The sequence below is a fragment of the Homo sapiens genome, chromosome 14 (assembly GCF_000001405.40).
Source record: "Homo sapiens chromosome 14, GRCh38.p14 Primary Assembly".
Taxonomy (NCBI): Eukaryota; Metazoa; Chordata; class Mammalia; order Primates; family Hominidae; genus Homo; species Homo sapiens.
Genome location: NC_000014.9, coordinates 38,431,367 through 38,452,294, shown reverse-complemented (window position 1 = coordinate 38,452,294; position 20,928 = coordinate 38,431,367).

The following is a 20,928-nucleotide window of genomic DNA, read 5'->3' as shown; positions in this document are numbered from 1 at the left end:
CTCCGGGAGTACTCAGCTGAGAATCCTTCTGGTCCTGGGCTTTTTTTTTTGTTGGTAGGCAATTTATTACCTCCTCAATTTCAGAACTTATAATGGCTCTATTCAGAAATGCAACTTCTTCCTGGTTCAGTCTTGGCAGGGTGTATGTGTCTGGGAAATTTATCCATTTCTTGTAGATTTTCTAGTTTATTTGCAGAGAGATGCTTATAGTGTTCTTTGATGGTTGTTTGTATTTCTGTGAGTTCAGTGGTGATATACCCTTTATCATTTTTTATTGTGTCATTTGATTCTTCTCTCTTGTTTTCTTTATTAGTCTAGCTAGTGATCTATCTATTTTATTAATTTTTTCAAAAAAAAACCAGCGCCTGGATTCATTGATTTTTGAAGGGTTTTTCATGTCTCTATCTCCTTCAGTTCCACTCTAGTCTTGGTTATTTCTTGTCTTCTGCTAGCTTTGGTGTTTGTTTGCTCTTATCCTCTAGTTCTTTTAGTTATGATGTTAGGGTGTTGATTTGAGTTCTTTCTAGCTTTTTAATGTGGGCGTTTAGTGCTATAAATTTTCCTTCTTACACTTCTTTAGCTGTATCCCAGAGATTCCGGTACGTTGTCTCTTTGTTTTCATAGGTTTCAAAGAACTTCTTGATTTCTAACTTAATTTTATTATTTACCTAGGAGTCATTCAGGAGCAGATTGTTCAATTTCCCTGTAGTTGTGTGGTTTTGAGTGAGTTTCCTAATCTTGAGTTCTAATTTGATTGTGCTGTGGTCTGAAAGACTGTTACAATTTCAGTTCTTTTGCATTTACTGAGGAGTATGTTACTTCTAATTATGTGATTGATTTTAGAGTAAGTTCCATGTGGCACTACAAATAATGCATATTCTGTTTTTGGGTGGAGAGTTCTGTATATATCTATCAGGTCCACTTGATCCAGGGCTGAGTTCGAGTACTGAATATCCATGTTAATTTTCTGTCTCAATGATCTGTCTAATATTGACAGTGGGTTGTTAAAGTCTCCCACTATTATTGTGTGGGAGTCTATGTCTCTTTGTCAGTCTCTAAGAACTTGTTTTATAAACCTGGGTACTTCTGTATTGGGGGTATACACACACACACACACACACACACACACACACATATATGATTGTTAGCTCTTCTTGTTGAATTAATCCCTTTGCCATTGTATAATGCCTTTCTTTGTGTTTTTGATCTTTGTCGGTTCAAAGTCTGTTTTGTTAGAAACTAGGATTGCAAGCCCTGCTTTTTTCTGCTTTCCAATTTCTTGGTAAATTTTCCTCCTTCCCTTTATTTTAAGCCTATGTGTGTCTTTGCATGTGAGATGAGTCTCTTGAATACAACACACTGATGGGTCTTGACTTTTTATCTGGCTTTTCCTTCTGTGTCTTTTAATTGGGGCATTTAGCCCATTTATGTTTAAGGTTGATATTGTTATGTGTGAATTTGATCCTGTCATCATGGTAAACTGTTTATTTTGCTAGCTGTTTATTTTGCAAACTTGTTGATGTAGATGCTTCATAGTGTCATTGTTCTTTGTACTTCAGTGTGTTTTCACAATGGCTGGTACCACTTTTTCCTTTCCATACTTAGTGCTTCCTTCAGGAGCTCTTGCAAGGCAGGAGCCTTGATTAATTCCCTCAGCATTTATGTGTCTGAAAAGGGTTTTATTTCTCCTTCACTTATGAAGCTTAGTTTGGCCAGATATGAAATTCTGAGTTGGAAATTGTTTTTTTTTTTTTTTTAAGAATGTTGAATATTGGCCCTCAGTCTCTTCTGGCTTGCAGGGTTTCTGCTGAGCAGTCTGCTGTTAGTCTGATGAGCTTCTTATTGAAGGTGACCTGACCTTTCTCTCTGGCTGCCCTTAGCATTTTTTCCTTCATTTTGACCTTGAAGAATCTGATGATTACATGTCTTGGGGTCAATCTTCCCATGGAGTATCTTAGTGGGGTTCTCTGTATTTCCTGGATTTGAATGTTGACCTGTCTTGTTAGGTTGGGGATGTTCCCCTGGATGATATCCTGAAGTATGTTTTACAACTTGGTTCCATTCTCCCCGTTTCTTTCAGGTACCCAATCAATCATAGGTTTAGTCTTTTTACATAATCCCATAGCTCTCAGAGGTTTTGTTTGTTCCTTTTCATTCTTTTCTCTCTAATCTTGTCTGTCTGTCTTCTTTCAGCAACATGGCCTTCAAGCTCTGAAATTCTTTCCTCTGCTTAGCCTATTCAGTTATTGGTACTGTGGCTGCATTGTGAAGTTGTGTTTTTCAGCTCTATCAGGTATTTTATCTTCTTCTCTAAACTGGTTATTCTGGTTAACAGCTTCTGTAATGTTTTATCGTGGTTCTTAGCTTCTTTGCACTGGGTTATAACATGCTCCTTTAGCTCAGCAAATTTCATTATTACCCAACTGCTAAAGCCTACTTCTGTGAATTCATCCATTTCAGCCTCTGCCCAGTTCTGTGCCCTTGCTGGAGAGGTGTTGTGATCATTGGGAGGAGAGGAGGCATTCTGGCTTTTTGAGTTTTCCATGCTTCTTCATTGATTCTTTCTTATCTTCCTGAGTTTATCTAGCTTTGGTCTTTGAGGCTGCTCATATTTGAATGGAGTTTTTCTGTGGACGTTTTTTGTTGATGCTGTTGTTGTTGCTTTTTGTTTGTTTGGTTTTCTATTAACAGTCAGTGCCCTCTTCTATAGGGCTGCTGTGATTTACTGGGGGTCTACCCCAGACCCTATTTGCCTGGGCCCCTCCTGTATCTGGTGATGTCACCAGTGGAGACTGCAGAACAGCAAAGATGGCTGCCTTCTCCTTCCTGTGAGATCTCTGTTTCAGAGGGGCACCAATCTGATGCCAGTGGGAATGCTCCTGTATAAGGTGTCTGGTAACCCATGTTGGGAGGCCTCACCCAGTCAGGAGGCATAGGATCCAGGACCCAATTGATGAAGCACTCTGGCTGCCCCTTAGTGGAGGGGATGAGCTGTGCTGGGGGGAATCCAAATCATCTGGACCTCCAGGATTCCTCAGAGCCAGTAGGGGGAAAGACCATGTCTGCTGATCTGTGGAGACTGTGGCTCAGTCCCAGGGAGATCAGACTTCTAACCCTAAACCCCTGGCTGGAGTTGCTGAAATTTCTGCAGGGAGGCCCCACCCTGTGAGGAGGGGTGGATTGGGTTCAGCCTAAAGAGGCAGTCTGGCCATGACCTGCCATAGCCACTATGCTGTGCTGTAGGGAATTCCTCCTGAGTCTAAACTGTTTAGTCTCCCTGGCACTGGCAGGGGAAAAATGGCCAAATGAAGCTGCAGTGACGGCTGCTGCCCCTCCCACAGGGAACTCAGTCATCTTAGGCAATAGGTGGCCACAGTGATGGCTGCCACACCTAGGGGAGCTCAGTTGTCTTAGGCAACAGGCAGCTGCTGTAACGACGGTCACCCCTTCCCCCAGGAACTCAGTAGTCTTAGGCAGTTTTCAGCCAAGTGGCCACTGAGAATCTGCACAACTTTGTGCTTAGGACCCAGGGCCCTGGTGATATAGGCTCCTGATGGGGATCTCCTTATCTGCAGGTTGCACAGTTCTGTTACCAGAAAGGGATCCTAATTCAGACCCCAAGAGAGAGTTCTTGGATGTTGTGCAAGAAAGAATTCAGGATGAATCCACAGTGCAAAGCAAAAATGAGTTTATTAAGAAAGTCAAGTGGTGAAAGAACAACTGCTCCATAGACAGAGTAGGGCATTCCCAAACGTGTCCACCATAGATACAATACCTGTTTATATAAAGGATAAGAAAAGATTATGAAGAGATGTGCTCTGCTACAAGGGTTTGTAATAAAGGATTAATTTTCTTAATTGCTGTATTTTGCAATAATCAATATTATTATCTTTAGAGCAAAATTAGGAATTCTTCATTCTCTAGATATAGGGATATTGGGACACTCCCAAATCTGGGTCTGCTTAGTAAAAGTTATCTATCTTTTCCTTTAACTATAAATATCTAGAGGTTAGGAATACCTAAGTTTCTGTGAAGGCAGCCCATCAAGTCCCAACCTCATTTTTCCTCACTGTCACTCAAGATGGAGTCACTCTGGTTTGAATGCCTCTGACAGATCCATGGAAAAAGCTGGGGTCAGGAGTTCCCCTTGCCCCACATGGCTCCCAGGTGGGCTGTTGCATCACCCTGCTTTTTCTTGCTCTCCATTGGTCATGCCAACCTCCTAGTCAGTTCAAATGAGATAACCTAAATACCTCAGTTGCTGATGCAGGATTCATGCATCATTTTCATTTTTCTTGGTGGGAACCTCTGACTGCAGCTGTTTCTTTTCAGCCATGTTGGCCTCTCAACAAGAGTTCTTAAATAGGCTGAACTGGTCAGATGACAGCAATAGAATTCAGAATATAAACAGGAGCAAAGATCATCAAGATTCAGGAGGATGGAAAACTCAGTCCAAGGAAAATAAAAATCGCGATAAAGTGATATGGGAGCTAAAGGGAAAGATAGCCCATATAAAAAAGAACCTAGGCCGGGCGCGGTGGCTCACGCCTGTAATCCCAGCACTTTGGGAGGCCGAGGCGGGCGGATCATGAGGTCAGGAGATCGAGACCATCCCGGCTAAAACAGTGAAACCCCGTCTCTACTAAAAATACAAAAAATTAGTCGGGAGTAGTGGCGGGCGCCTGTAGTCCCAGCTACTTGGGAGGCTGAGGCAGGAGAATGGCGTGAACCCGGGAGGCGGAGCTTGCAGTGAGCCGAGATCCCGCCACTGCACTCCAGCCTGGGCAACAGAGCGAGACTCCGTCTCAAAAAAAAAAAAAAAAAAAAAAAAAAAGAACCTAATGGGTCTGACAGAGCTGAATGACACAAGAATTTGACAATACAATCACAAATATTAACAGCAGGATAAACCAAGCTGAGGAGAGAATTTCAGAACTTGAAGAATGGCTCTTTGAAATAAGATAGTCAGAAATAAAGGAAAAAGAATAAAAAGGAATGAACAAAATCTCCAAGAAGTATGGAATTACATAAAGAGGCCAAATCTATGCATCATTGGCGTCTTTGAAAGGGAGCGGGAGAAAGCAAAGAAGTTGGAAAATATATTTCAGAATATCATTCATGAAAACTTCCCCAACCTTACTAGAGAGGCCAACAGTCAAATTCAGGAAATACAGAGAACTCTTGCAAGATTCTACACAAGAAGATTATCCCCAAGGCACATTATCCTCAGATTTTCCAAGGTTCAAATCAAAGAAAAAATGTTAAAGGCAGCTAGAGAGAAAGGGTGGGTCACCTACAAAGGAAACCCCATCGGGCTAAGAGCAGATTTCTCAGCTAAAATCTTACAAGCCAGAAGAGATTGGGTGCCTATATTCAACATTCTTTAAGAGATAATTTTATATCCAGCCAAACTAAGCTTCCTAAGTGAAGGAGAAATAAGATCTTTTTCAGTTAAGCAAATGTTGAGGGAGTCCATTACCACTAGACCTGCTTTATAAGAGACCTTGAAAGGTAGACTAAATATAGAAAGGAGACTGCTACCAGTTAATACACTTAAGCACACTGACCAGTGTCATTATAAAGCAACCACACAAACAAGCCAGCATAATAACAAGCTAACAGCACAACTACAGGATAAAATCCACACGTATTAATACTAACCTTGAAAGTAAATTGGCCAAATTCCTCAGTTCAAAAGTATAGAGTGGCAAGCTGGATAAAAAAGCTAGACCCAATGGTATGCTGTCTTAAAGAGACCCATCTTAAATGTAATGACACTCATAGGTTCACAATAAAGGGATGGAGGAAAATCTACCAAGCAAATGGAAAACAGAAAAAATCAGGGGGTGCAATTCTAATTTCAGACAAAACAGATTTCAAACCAAGAAAGATCAAAAATGAAAAAGAAGGGCATTACATAATGGTAAAGGGTTCAATTTAACAAGAAGGTCTAAGTATCTGAAATATATATGCACCCAACACATGGGCATCCAGATTCATAAAGCAAATTCTTAGAGACCTATAAAGAGACATAGACTGTCACACAATAATAATGGGAGACCTCAACACTCCATTGACAGTATTAGGTCATCAAGGCATAACATTAACAAAGATATTCAGGAACTAAATTCAACATTGGACCAAATGGATTTGATAGAGCTTTATAGAACTCTCTCCCCCAAAACAGCAGAGTATACATTCTTATCATTGCCACATGGCCTGTACTCTAAAATTGACCACATAATTGGACATAAAACAATCCTCAACAAATCTAAAAGAACTAAAATCATACCAAACACAGCTCAATAAAAATAGAAGTCAACTATAAAAATTGCTGAAAACCATGTAATTACTGGAAATTAAACAACATGATCCTGAAAAACTTTTGGGTAAATAATGAAATTAAGGCAGAAATCAATAAGTTCTCTGACAATAATGAGAACAAAGGTACCACATACCAGAATCTCTGGGGCACAGATAAGGCAGTGTTAAGAGGAAAATTCATAGCACTAAATGCTCAGATTAAAAAATCAGATCTCAAATTAACAACCTATGTTCATGACTGAAAGAATTAGAGAAGCAAGGACAGGTCAGCCCCAAGGCTCACAGGAGATAAGAAATATCAAAAATAAGAGCTGAACTGAAGGAAAATGAGATGTGAAAAACCATTCAAAAGCTCAATGAATCTAGGAGTTGGTTTTTTTGAAAAAAAAAATGAAAAAGGCCATTAGGTAGACTAATAAAAAAAGAAAAGAGAGAAGATCCAAATACACACAATTAGAAATGATGAAAAGAATATTACTACCATCAGAAATAAAAGCAACTGTCAGAAACTACTATGAGCACCTCTATGTAAACAAGTTAGAAAACCTAGGAGAGATAGATAAATTCCTGGACACATACACCCTCCCAAGGCTGAGCCAGGAAGAAATTGATTCCCTGAACAGAACAATAACAAGCTCCAAAATTGAATCAGTAATAAATAGCCTACCAACCAAAAAAAGCTTGGGACCTAATGGATTCACAGTCAAATTCTACCAGATGTAGAAAAAAGGGAAGGTACCATTTCTACAGAAACTACTCCAAAAAATTGAGGAGAAGGGACTCCTCCCCAACTTATTCTATGAGGCCAGCATCATGTTGATACCAAAATCTGGCAGAGACACAATGAAAAAGGAAAACTTCAGGTCAATATCTTTGATGAACATTGATGCAAATATCCTCAACAAAATACTTGCAAACCAAATCCAACAGCTCATCAAAAAGCTAATCCACCATGATCAAGCAGGCTTTATCCCTGGGATACAAGATTGGTTTACCACATGCAAATCAATAAATGTGATTCATCACATAAACAGAACTAAAGATGAAAACCACATGATTATCTCAATAGATGCAGAAAAAGCTTTAATAAAATTCAACACCCCTTCACGTTAAAAACTCTCAATAAACTAGGTACTGAAAGAACATACCTCAAAATAATAGCCATCTATGACAAACCCACAGCCAACATTACATTGAATGGGGAAAAGCTGGAAGCATGCTCCTTGAAAACTGGAACAAGACAAGGATGCCCTCTCTCACTACTTTTGTTCAAGGAGTCTAGAAAACCCCATAGACTTGGCCCAAAATCTCCGTCAGCTGATAAACAACTTCAGCAAAGTTGCAGGATACAAAATCAATGTATAAAAATCACTAGCATTTCCATATACCAGCAACAGCCAAACTGAAAGCCAAATCAGAGAGGCAATTCCATTCACAATTGCCACAAAAAGAACAAAATACCTAGGAATACAGCTAGCCATGGAAGTAAAAGATCTTTACAATGAGAATTACAAAACACTGCTCAAAGAAATCAGAGACGATACACAAAAAAATGGAAAAGCATCCCATGCTCATGGATAAGAAGAATCAATAATATTAAAATGGTGATACTGCCCAAAGCAATTTACACATTTAATGCTATTTCTATCAAGCTACCAACGACATTCTTCATAGAAGTAGAAAAGAGCATTTTAAAATTCATATGGAACCAAAAAGCCTGAATAGCCAAGCAAAAACAACAAAGCTGGAGGCATCATGCTACTTGACTTCAAACTATACTACAAGTCTACAGTAAACAAAACAGCATAGTACTGGTACAAAAATAGGCACATTGGTCAAGGAATAGAGTAGAGAGGCCAGAATAAGACCACACATCTACAACCATCTGATCTTTGACAAAGCTGACAAAAACAAGCAATGGGGAAAAGATTCTCTATTCAATAATGGTGCTGGGATAACTGGCTAGCCATATGCAGAACACTGAAGCTGGATGCCTTCCTTATGCAATATAGAAAATTCAACTCAAGATGGATTAAAGACTTAAATGTAAAACCCCAAACTATAAAAACCCTGGAAGACAACCTAGGCAACACCACTCAGGACACACAAATGGGCAAAGATTTCATTAATAAGACACCAAAAGCAATTGCAGCAAAAGCAAACATTGGCAAATGGGATCTAATTAAACTAAAGAGCTTCTTCACAGCAAAATAAACTATCAACATGGTAAACAGATAACCTAAATAATGGGAGAAAATTTTTGCAAACTAGGCATCTGACAAAGGTCTAATATTCAGCATCTGTGGGGAACTTAAACAAATTTACAACAGAAAAACAACCTCATTAAAAATTGGGCAAAAGACATGAACAGACACTTCTCAAAAGAAGACATACATGTGGTCAAGAAGCATAGGAAAAAAACCTCAATATCACTAATCATTAGAGAAATGCAAATCAAAACCACAATGAAATAAAATACCATCTCACAGTGAAAAGATAACAGATGCTGGTGAGGTTTCACATAAAAGGGAATGCTTATACGCCATTGGAAGGAGTGTAAATTCGTCAACCATTGCGGAAAGCAGTATGGCAATTCCTCAAAAGCTAAAAGCAGAACTGATTTGACCCAGCAATCCCATTACTGGGTATACCCAGAGGAACATAAATCATTCTACCATAAAGACACATGAACACGAGTGTTTATTTCAGTACTATTCACAATAGCAAAAACAAGGGATCAACCTAAATGCCCATCAATGACAGATCGGATGGAGAAAATGTGGTACATATGCACCATGGAATACTGTGCAGTCATAAAAAAGAAGGAGATCATGTCTTTTGTGGAAACATGGAGCAGGAGGCTATTATCCTTATCCTTAGGCTATTATCCGTATCCTTCCTAATGTAGGAACAGAAAACCAAATACCACATGTTCTCACTTATGAACACAAAAAAAGAAATGACAGACACTGGGGTCTACTTGAGTGGGAAGGGTGGGAAGAGGGAGAGGAGCAGAAGAGATCACTATTGGGTATAGGACTTAATACCTGGGTGATGAATAATATGTACAACCCCCTGTGACACATGTTTACCTATGTAACAAACATTCAAATGTACTCCCAAACCTAAAATAAAAGCTAAAAAATTTACATTGTTTTTCAAAAATATAAATGATCTAAATAGCATAATCTGGAATACGTAAAATAATAAAAATTGACCTTAGTGGAAACGGAACTCTAGAATAGCAATCACCATAGGAAAAATTAAATTATCATATAATTAATTCTAAAAATGACTGATAAGATTTTAAGTGTAAATCCTAGCAAATTTTCAGGGAACAGATAATTTACATACCAGTTAAATTATCCTATAGGTGAAAAAAATGTGGAAAGTCTGCTAAAATGTTTTTACTCGCTTTATGTAACACGGATGCCAAAATCTAACAATGATGGAACAAAATGAAAATAAACACTGTGATAACTAACCTGACTCCATGTTCTATGTTTGGCTGCTGACAGCTTCCAGACCCTGCCCTTTCCCTTTTGCCTCTTGTTCCGTATCTGGGCAAACTGATAAGAAACCCTGAGTACTCCCTCCCTTGGTGCTGTTGGAGAAGTTCAAGCCATGCAAACCCTGGCTGTGTGCAAGATGTCACCTAGGTCCTACCTCCTAACCACAATAAAAACCAAAGCCACCTGCATGTCCCTTCACTTAAGTAATATCAGGTCAGCTTTAGTGCTTGCTTTGGTGTCCCCAGAAAGTCCCATTACGTAGGTAAGGAACCTTTTAATACTCTCTTGTAGCACATGTGTCATCCTCAGTCTTGATAATCTGAACCTATTTTAGGTGGGAGGTCGATCTCATTCTCTTCAGGGCAACTACAAAATAATTGGCACTAGGAGACCTGGGGGTCTTTCTTGTTTTTGGCTTGCTACCTGGTTCTCCTGCCTGCTGGTGACAGTGTACATTGAGCTTTTGCCTCCTGGCTAGTTTGTGTTTTGAATTGCTTTACTGCCTACCAGTAAGCTTGCATTTTGAATTGTGTTGTGCTGTGATGCATTTGCTGAATCCTACTAAGTTTCTGGTATAGATTTAACTAATTATGTTGAAAATTTTGACAGGATATTTAGGGTAGGAGTGTGGCATTCGAATTCCTTCTAAAAGTGGGCCTGGGTCATATGTTTGGCTTAGATCTATCCATGTATTTCAATTTCAGCATAAGTCATAGCTTACTCTGGACACGTGAAACAACTTTTACCCAATGACCATTGGCTGAATTTCTCAAGCAGGTGTTGAGCCCCTGTGCAGTATATAGACCCATTAGTTGTGTGCTAGTGTGAGGAAGAGTAGTCACTATGTTGTGTTCTGAGGTCCACATGCTTAAGTTCAGAGAGCTCACTGAGACTCTATAAACCTTAAGATGGCTCTGCTGCTGCTGCTGCTGCTGCTGCTGCTGCTGTTGCCACTCATGCCTCTGTTGCTACAAAGACCCTGGTCCTCAGGATTATACAGAAAAAACTCCCATGGTACCTCCTATGGCATAGACTCTTATGAAAAGCAACCCTAACTGCTCTACACTCAACCCCATTATAGGTCCAGAGGGCACTGTTACGCTATTAAATAACCATAAAAGGAACGGGCAAAGATTGTGGGGTCTATTGAGTATTGCAGCTTATCAACATATCAAGTGGTTAATTCATACCCAGCTTAATTCCGGAGTCCCTAAACCATCATAACAACATTCACCATGTGGGAGGTCCCTACCCCACGATACTAATTTAGCACTCTCTGAAGGATGAGACTTACAAAAATGAGCAGAATGGAGAAAACTCCCCTTTCCCCCTCTCCATGTAGTATATCCAGTAACTTTAAACATAAAATAAAACAACAACAACAAAAACACTTTATACAATGGGAAGAAATAGGCACTGAAACAGGGATCTGTGATTTGGTCCAACTGGAAATCAAAATTCACTAAAATAATTTGTGGAAAAGAAAGATAAAAATGACTATTGATTATTGTGTTTCTACAAAATAGGTACTAAATTAATGTCTGCTGAGATGTGCCAATTGGAAAACATTTATGGCCTAATTAATGGGGCTCAAATTACAGTTGTACCTGGGAATGCCACAAAATATAAACCAGGTACCCCCTATACTCTTAGTGGAGTTACTGACCATAAAATAGAGGACAAATAAATATACCCAACCTTAGCCTTGAAAATGTTGCGTATATTCCCCACAATCACAGTGTTCCGTGCCCAATGTCCCATAGTGGGCATAAACATTTTGACCTAGTAAATAATAGAGTAGAATTAAACCTCTGACACTTAAGATTAGCTTGATAAAATGGGGCTCCATGGACTCATTCACCCTAAATCCTATACCAGGTTAAATAGTACAGATCAATATAGATTTAAACAAGTTCTGCAAAAATTAAGGTCATATAAGACCAGCTGAAGGAAGGGGCCACTGTTCCTATATCCTGATGTTTGCTAATGGTCAAACCTAATAAAAATAAGTGGTGCCTAACAGTGAGGCTTGGTGCCTCTAGCATCTCAGATTAATGAAATAAAAATGGATGATGTAATAGGGGGAAACGTTAGATCTCTACCTCACATTCTACCAAAATAAATTCCAAATGAAGCAAGGAATCAGCTATGAGAATAAAATAATAAAAGTTATGAATGTTTATGTACATAGAAATTTATAGTCTTGCATTGAGGAGGGACTTTTTTAGAATAACACTACACCAGAAGCCATAAAGGAGCGAAATTCTGGATTTGTATACATAAATATTTAAAATTTCCTTATAAAATAATAAAGTCTGACTAGAATTAAAAGAAAAACAGTAAATAAACAGGACATTTGCAGCATATATGACAAGGAATTAATATCTGTTACTTAGAAAGCTTCTTTAAAAAGTATATAAATATAGCCTGTAATCTCAGCACTTTGGGAGGCCGAGGCGGGTGGATCACGAGGTCAGGAGATGGAGACCATCCTGGCTAACACGGCGAAACCCCGTCTCTACTAAAAAAATACAAAAAAATTAGCCTGGCGTGGTGGCGGGCGCCTGTAGTCCCAGCTACTCAGGAGGCTGAGGCAGGAGAATGGCGTGAACCCGGGAGGCGGAGCTTGCCGTGAGCCAAGATCTCACCACTGCACTCCAGCCTGGGCGACAGAGCGAGACTACGTCTCAAAAAAAAAAAAACAAACAACAACTCAAAGTATATACATATAAATACACAAAAGGATGAAAAGGCAACTCAGTGAAAAAAATAAAAATAATCATTAAGAATATGACAATATCTATATTTAACTAATAAATATAGAAATTAAAACAATGTGATAGTATTTTGTGTCAAATTGGTAAATAAAGAAAATTAAGAACAAGTAGCTTTGGCTTTCCTCGATGCAGACAGATGGGGACTTTGATATGCTGCTGGTGGCAATATAAATTTATGTGCCCTTTTTAATGCCCGTGGACAAGTCAAGGTTCCGCAGCGAAATAGAACCAATAGGATGGATATGTATTTAGAAAGATGTGTTGGTGGGCCAGGTGGCTTATGCCTGTAATCCCAGCATTTTGGGAGGCGGAGACAGGAGAATGACTTGGGCTCAGGGGTGGGAAACCAGACTAGGCAACATAGTGAGACCCTGTCTCTACAAAAAAGAAAAAAAATTAGCCAGGCTTGGTGGCACATATGTGTAGTCCCAGCTACTTGAGAGGCTGAGGTGGGAGGATCTCTCCAGCCTAAGAGTTTGAGGATGCAGTGAGCTCTGACTGCACCACTGCACTCCAGCCTGGGCAAGAGAGTGAGTCTCCATCTCAAGAAAAAAGGAAGGAAAGGGAAAGGAAAAGGGAAAGGGAAGGGGAAAGGATTCTAAAAACGTGTGCAACGTTTGAGCTACCAAATCTATTTGTAAGAATTTATTTTAAGGAAATTACTAAGAATAATGCAAATATTTAGTTACTTGACAATGCATTACACCACTGTTTACAATAAAAAATTAAGAAAATAGCAAAAACAATGTTTAAAATTGTGTGCAATATGATGCAATTTTTATTTTAAAAATACATATATATGAAAATGTCCAGAAGCTGTTAATATTGTTCATCTCTGCTTGAAAGAATTGTAAGTGATTTTTTTTTGTTTATATATGTTTTTTGATTATTATTCAACACATATGAACTAGATGTGCAATAAAATATTTTTAAAAATTGTCACATTTTGATGTATTGTTTTGCTACTTTGTATCTATATCTATCCAACAAATTGGGTAAATATCATGTTTGTATACTGCTTTGTTCCTGTTAATATTTTAATCATATATTACATTTTCTATGTCATTTATACTATTCAGAAACATAATTTAAAATGTCTGCATGAAGCTTATTTGTGTGAACCACAATTCATTTAATTATATTCTATTGTTAAACAATAGAAATATTCATAATAGTGAAAAATTGGAAACACTGTGCTGTATGTGTATTTTGACCCATAGTTCTGATTATCTTCCTAGTACAGCACTCTAAAGTAGAACTACTTAATGCAATTAAATTTTTGACATCTTTAATATATATTCTGAAATATTCTCCTAAAATTTCTGAACAAACTTTTCTCCTGCGATCTCCTGAAAAATACTGGATTTATCACATCAGAAGTAAGGATGACTTAAATAAGTAAAATCTTCCAACAATTCGAGTGGTTAAATATGGTATTAGGGTTTTTTTTTTATAATTTGCATGCCTTTGTTTTAGTTTTAATTTTTTAGTTTAGTTTTTTAGTTATCTAGTAAGTAGGTTGAATATTTTTCACATCTATTAGCTACTTATTGACCGTTTATTAGCCATTTATTATCCTCTATTTCCTTGACTTTATATAAAAAACAATGGAGGGGAATCTCTTTCAGTATGAATCTTTACATTGTCAAAGCTTGATCCTTCACATATCTGTAGCAAATATTTGTTCCCAGTTGATGACTTGTGAGTGTTCCTTCAATAATAATGGACACTTATTTAGAGTTTCTTATGTGCCAAATGCTGTAAGTCTATTATCCCATTAGGTTTTATAGCTTTATGCCTAAGTGTCATTACCCTCATTTTACAGATGAGGAAACTGAGGTATAGATTAAATGTTTTGTCTGTTGCCACAGATTCTGGCACTACAGTGTCTATATTTAATTAATGGCTCCACAAACTGAAAGGCTAATAGCTTCCCATTGTCCCAGGATCCCAGAATCAGTGGACAACAGGTAAAAGCCACATACAGGAGGATCTGGATAGTTGATAATGATAATGGCAATTTCCTTCATAGACCAAAGCACATTAACTTGCTGAATTTAATGTGCCTCAAGAACTTGCATCTTCATTTAGTTTGATACATCCCTGTACTAAAATAAACAGAGGTTGCTCTGACTAGACTAGAATTTCTTACGTTTTTATGTAAGAAGGCCATAAATAGTTACAAACTTTGGAGTTAGTTCTGTACCTAATGAATCCCCAGGCCCTCCTTGCTGTCATTATTCAAGTTTTGAATTTTTAAAATGATATTTGCAGTTAATTTTGCAAATTTACTGCATGATTTGCATCAACAATTTATCTCCATTATAGAAAAGATAAATTTGCTTGTGTACTCAACACACAGAATCAACAAATTAACAAAAATTAATGTTTGATATTTGCCATATTTGTCACATGTATGTATATATGCAAGAAGTTAAAATCCACTTTATTTTTGTTTTCCAGACCTATTCTTTTGTCTCCCTCTCTACAAGCAGCCAATATCGAGAGGTTACAGCAAAATCACAGACTTGATCTATATTGTAACATTGGGTAAAGAAGTCTTGATTATTATAAACCCATTCACCAGCATGTTGTTTCTTAAGTGGATGAATGGTTTTATATTTAAAATAAATAATAAAATGAATTTATTTTAATAGTATTTACAATTTTTTTTTTTTTTGAGTGGAGTCTTGCTCTGTCACCCAGGCTGGAGTGCAGTGGCATGATCTTGGCTCACTGCAATCCCCGCCTCCCAGGTTCAAACAATTCTCCTGCCTCAGCCTCTCGAGTAGCTGGGATTACAGGTGCTTGCCACCATGCCTCGCTAATTTTTGTATTTTTAGTAGAGACGGGGTTTCACCATGTTGTCCAGGCTAGCCTCAAACTCTTAACCTCAAGTGATCCGCTCACCTCGGCCTCCCAAAGTGCTGGGACTACAGGCATGAGCCACTGTGCCCTGCCAGGTTTTTAAAACTTTAAAAATGGAGTCCTATTAAACAGACCTCCTTGTTCAAGTTCTTGCCTGTGTGGAATGAGAACTGATATACATAAGGATAATCCGTTCACTGTACATCTACCTATCTTTTCATGAATCATCAAGGAATATTGATTTTAAAAAATTTAATTGAATTTTACGTTGGGATAAGATCTGAGAACTTATCAGGCCTGATGTTATAATTTCACAGATCAGGAAGCCAAGGTCAAGAGTGCTCAAGTGACTTGTTCAAGGGCATGTAACTAGTTAAGAAAAGACCCAAGGCTTAAGTCCAAGTGTGCTGATTTCTTTTGAGATCAGTATTTTTTTTCCCACTCAGACCATTTTGCTCTACAGAAAATGAGACCTTCCACTACAGACTTAGAGGATACCTGTTGGTTTATCATTTTCCTAGAAAATTCTGACTTATCTGTCCTGGAATTGGATTATCAGGGTGGTAGAACCATTAATATGATTAATACTAGATTCTACAAGTAATGAAAATCGTAAGTGAATGTCTAAGGAATTTGATTTTAATTAAATATCACTTTCTTACTATTTATACTTATTTTTTTTTGACAAGGTCTCACTCTGTCACCCAGCCTGTAGTGCAGTGGCATGATCATGGCTCACTGCAGCCTTGACCTCCCAGGCTCAAGTGATCCTCCCACCTCAGCCTTCCAAGTAGCTGTGACCACAGATGCATGCCACCATACCTGGCTAATTTTTTGATTTTTTGTAGAGTCTGTTTTGCCGTGTTGCACAGGCTGATCTCAAACTCTTGGGTTCAAGCAATCTTTCCACCTCAGCCTCCCAAAGTACTGGGATTACGGTATGAGCAACTGTACCCGGCAATTTTGTTCTTTAAAATTTCTTTTCACAGATCTAGAAGTAAACAGCTGCAGGTGCTGGGTTCCATTTATCCTAATGTTCACACATTATCAGGGGCTACCAGTGAAAAGTTTAGGTTGAGCATCTATCTTTTTGCAGTTAAATAGCACCTTTGAGGACTAAGTCTAGAATGAAGGGTGTTACTTTCAATTGAGGAATTGTTTAACTTGAGGTTAGCAAAATATAAGAAAAGCTATGAGTAAAATTTCAGTAGGTGGGAAAAGGATGAACGATATGAAGAAGAAGGACCCAGAAAACTAGTGATCTAAAATAGCAATGTGTTTTTATAGTCTCATTGTTCAAAAAGTGTTTCCATTTTTGTTTTTTTATTTTGCTGGCACATATACTGAGAAACTAATTACCAACATATTGGCAAAAAAGTTTCCAATTTTGTAACAGAAATGAAAAGAAAGAATGTCTTCTTACAATACTAGAAACATTTCCATCTGCTTAATTGCATTACATGGTGATGATTTTAAATTTTAAGAGAAGAAAGGAAAATATGTTTCCTTTCTTGAATAATTGAATTGTTTTAGATACTGTTGCCTGTTTTTAATCCAGAAGAAATAAGCTATCCATATTTTTTAAAAAGCATAAAACATAAGAAATGTACCCTCTATACCTCTTTGCATAAAATAAGAACCATTATAACTTACTTTCGTTTTAAGGCTTTTTTCAAGGAACTCTGAACATTTTTTAATATTATTGCACTAACCTTCATGAAATCCTTGAGCAAAGGGAATCAGTAATCTACAAGGAGAAAGTAGAAGTAGCAAGAAAAATTTGATGTCTCTTAATAAACTAAATAGTAAGTAAAATTGATTTTTGACACTTTATCTTGTTTATTTAGTCAGAGACTGGTCTAGAATTAAGGTAACAGTTCCAGAGTTTTTGTTCATTCATTCATTTCAAACATTTATTGACCATCAAGCAGGCTTTCTGCTATGTAGTAAGACAAACACTTAACTAAGCATTGGTGATATAAAGATAAAAGACCAAACATTTTTGCCCTCAAATTATTCACAGTCTTATGGCAAAAGAGAAAAGTGTATAGATAGACAATTATAGTGTATCATATTAAAAGTAAATTCAGGGCCAGGCACTGTGGTTCACGTCTGTAATCCCAGCACTGTGAGATGCCAAAGTGGGAGGACTGCTTGAGCCCAGGAGTTTGAGTCTGCAGTGAGCTACATTAGTGCCACTGCACTCCAGGCTGGGCAACAGAACAAGACCTCGTCTCAGAAAAAATTGATTAATTAAAGTAATGTAAATTTAGGGAATTTGAGTAACATATAAGAGAGGATCATTTCTAGACTGGAGGATGAAAGAACATGGAAAATCCCTTGGTGCAGAGGTCTAACTTACTGCAGTGTCTATCAGTTCCAAATCATTTTCAAGACTCACCAGGGAGTCCATCTAGAAGGAATCATGAAGTCTAAGTACCACAGTGTTCTCATTTTATGATCTGTTTTTTACCCATGGAGAAGATAGACTGTAATGTAAAGAAGGTAGACCTTAGAGTAATCAGACTCGGGTCCAAGTCACAGCTTAGCCACTGAATGGTATTGTGACTTTGGACAAATAGCTACACTTCCTTGGAGCCCTGTCTTCTTATTTTTTAAATGACAATTATAGTAAGGTGAGACAACATTTATTTATTTGATACAGTTCCTGGCATTTAACAAATATTTTAAATTTATGAACATTTATTACCATTCATTATCTTTTTCTACCATTAACATACCAAAAATTAATGATAAAATTTTAAAAAAAGTTTTAATGTCAAATACTTTAGTTTTAGGAAGCAATGTTTTAAAGTAGATATAACAACTAGGATAATAAGAGAGGTTCTAAAATTATAATTAGGCTTTACACAAAAGTTCATGTGCAGAAGCATTATTTGGCTCTTAAATCACATTTTCACAAATAAACAATATTATTAATCAACAGAACCATCAGCAACATTTTTGAATGTATATTTTGTGTTTGTGTCTCATGTCTCAGATTAGATCACAAAATTCTATTTAACCCATAATGTAAGTGAAACGCTAGGAATTCCTTTCATTTGCTCCTTTACGCATTGTAACTTGAATCATTTGATACAGTTAATGGCCAATTTTACCACTTATATCCATTTCTTCAAGAGTACCAACATTGTGGGATTTGCACAAGCATAAAATAAAGACAACAAAATATAAGCAGTCATGTCTATATTGTGCAATTTTGCCACACATATTATTTTATTTGTCTTTACAAATAATGACTTGGTGGTTGGTATAGTGGGTTATCAATAATTTATGAAATGCTTGAGAGTGTTCAACAAAGCCTTAAATATTTTTAAGCCTCTACCTGGAGGATCTTCATAGGATGCAAGCACGTGTATGGTGTAGTAATAACATCTTAATATACTGTAAAAGAAACATCTGAGGAACAAATTTTAAAGAGTTTATTTGAGTAAGCAGCCATTCATGAACTGAGAAACAGCAAACTAAATTTAGTGTTCCAACGACAGTGTCAGAGGCAAGTATATATGGGGTGGATATAGAAGCAAGATGAATAAACTATATGATTGGTCGCAATTATACAATTGTCCTTTTTGGTTTACTTTGTCAGAAAATTTCTAGTTACAGAACTATAAGTTAACTGGCCTCTTATGATGGGCTGAGGTTATATTTTCTTTTTGTCTAACATGGGCATGTACCAGAAGTGACCTGAGTTGTTTCGCTTATGTTTGCAGTTTAAGCAGGGTTAAGGCTGTTTTTTCAGGCCTAGTTGGTTTTGTTTGTTCAGGAATTTCTCAGGCCCAGACTCCTTTTTAATTTTGAGGTAACTGTTTATAGGGGTATATGTGTGTGTAGTATTCTATATAATGTATAGACTAGTGGAATGTAAGTGGTTTTTATAGTTTAAATTTGTTATTCATTTTTTAACAAAAAGATACTCATCTTCCTTTAAGATTGTGAATAAGTTTAATTTAAAATCCTGAGATTATAAGCTATTATTTTATTGAACTATTGGCATTTTCATCTCTGTATATTTGTATTTTTCTAATAATGTGCTGCCAGATAAATAGCCTGGAAACAAATTGGATGCCAAAGTTGCTGTAACACTGCAAGTGTTATTCACTGTTTCTGTTTTCACATTTTTGTGTTCAGCTTCATATACCTAGTATTCTCACTGATTGAATTTGTAATAAGTAACATTTTTTAACTTGAGCTTATAAAAATACATTTCTAATAAATACATTTGGTGTGTATTTTTAAATAATGGGATTACCTATAGGATTTTATTAAAAATTTTTTCTCTGGAAATCTGAAAACTTGAACCAAAGAGACAGAAAAAAACAATTTTTTTTTATCGTCATCATCAGCAGCAGCAAACACAAGAACAAATATAACAAGGACAATAAATAAGAACTGGAGACCTTTGCAGTCCTTGAGGGAAGCAACGTCACAGAGAGAATGTTTCTGCTTATTAAAAGAAAAACTTTCAAAGGGAAAGCACTATACCAATCAAACCTTTGTGACATATTTCTTGAGACAATTTATAAGTATCCAAATTGTATCTGTCCCAAAGCACTTCTAAATGCTATGAAATCAAACAGAATTATTGAATTATCAATTAATATTTATTGCAGGTCTTACATGAGTTTTAGGTCAATTTTACGATATAGTTTTATGTGTTCAGCCAAATATATATAGAGAGAGACAGACTTATAGATATATTGAGGCCTTTTGTATAATCAATACATATATCTATATATAGATATAGATTATTGTAATACATTTATGCTCATTTTATATGATTAGAAGCATAATTTTACCATGGAAATGAATGTATAGCAGGTTTTTGTTATATTTATTATTATGATTTTTTTTGTTATGACTGATTTATTAGATGGTTTATCCTCCTCCCCATTATAACATGATTTTTATGGAAACATATGATCCCATTCAGGACAACTTGCTTTATATTATGATTTTAGAGAAAACTGTAATGAATGTATGGGACCCTCCTAAAGAGTATTTGTAATTAAAGTGGGAAAACTTTCTTTTAAAAAGTGGTAGTTTGAGAGAGATTAGAAATTAAGTAAGAAATAGCTTTTGAAAATAATAAATGCTGATCTTTGAGACAAAGTAAAAAGCAAACCAAAACTAACCAACTTGTTTCATGGGAATCATTATTGGAATAACAGAGACCACTTTGTGTAAAAGTCCTGCTCATAGCCATCCCTATTTCTTATAGTGTACTAAACATCAGGTTAGATTATTACAAATGTCAAAAAATATTCTCATCGGAAAATTAAATAAGACTAGAGACATGTTATAGGTGTGTGAAACTACAACCTGTCTCACAAACCTGCCTGTAACATGCAGCTACAGCTCACTGGCAAAATCCCCTTTGAACAGGCTGTGTTCCCTTTCCTCAAGTTCCACCAACCACAGGGTGT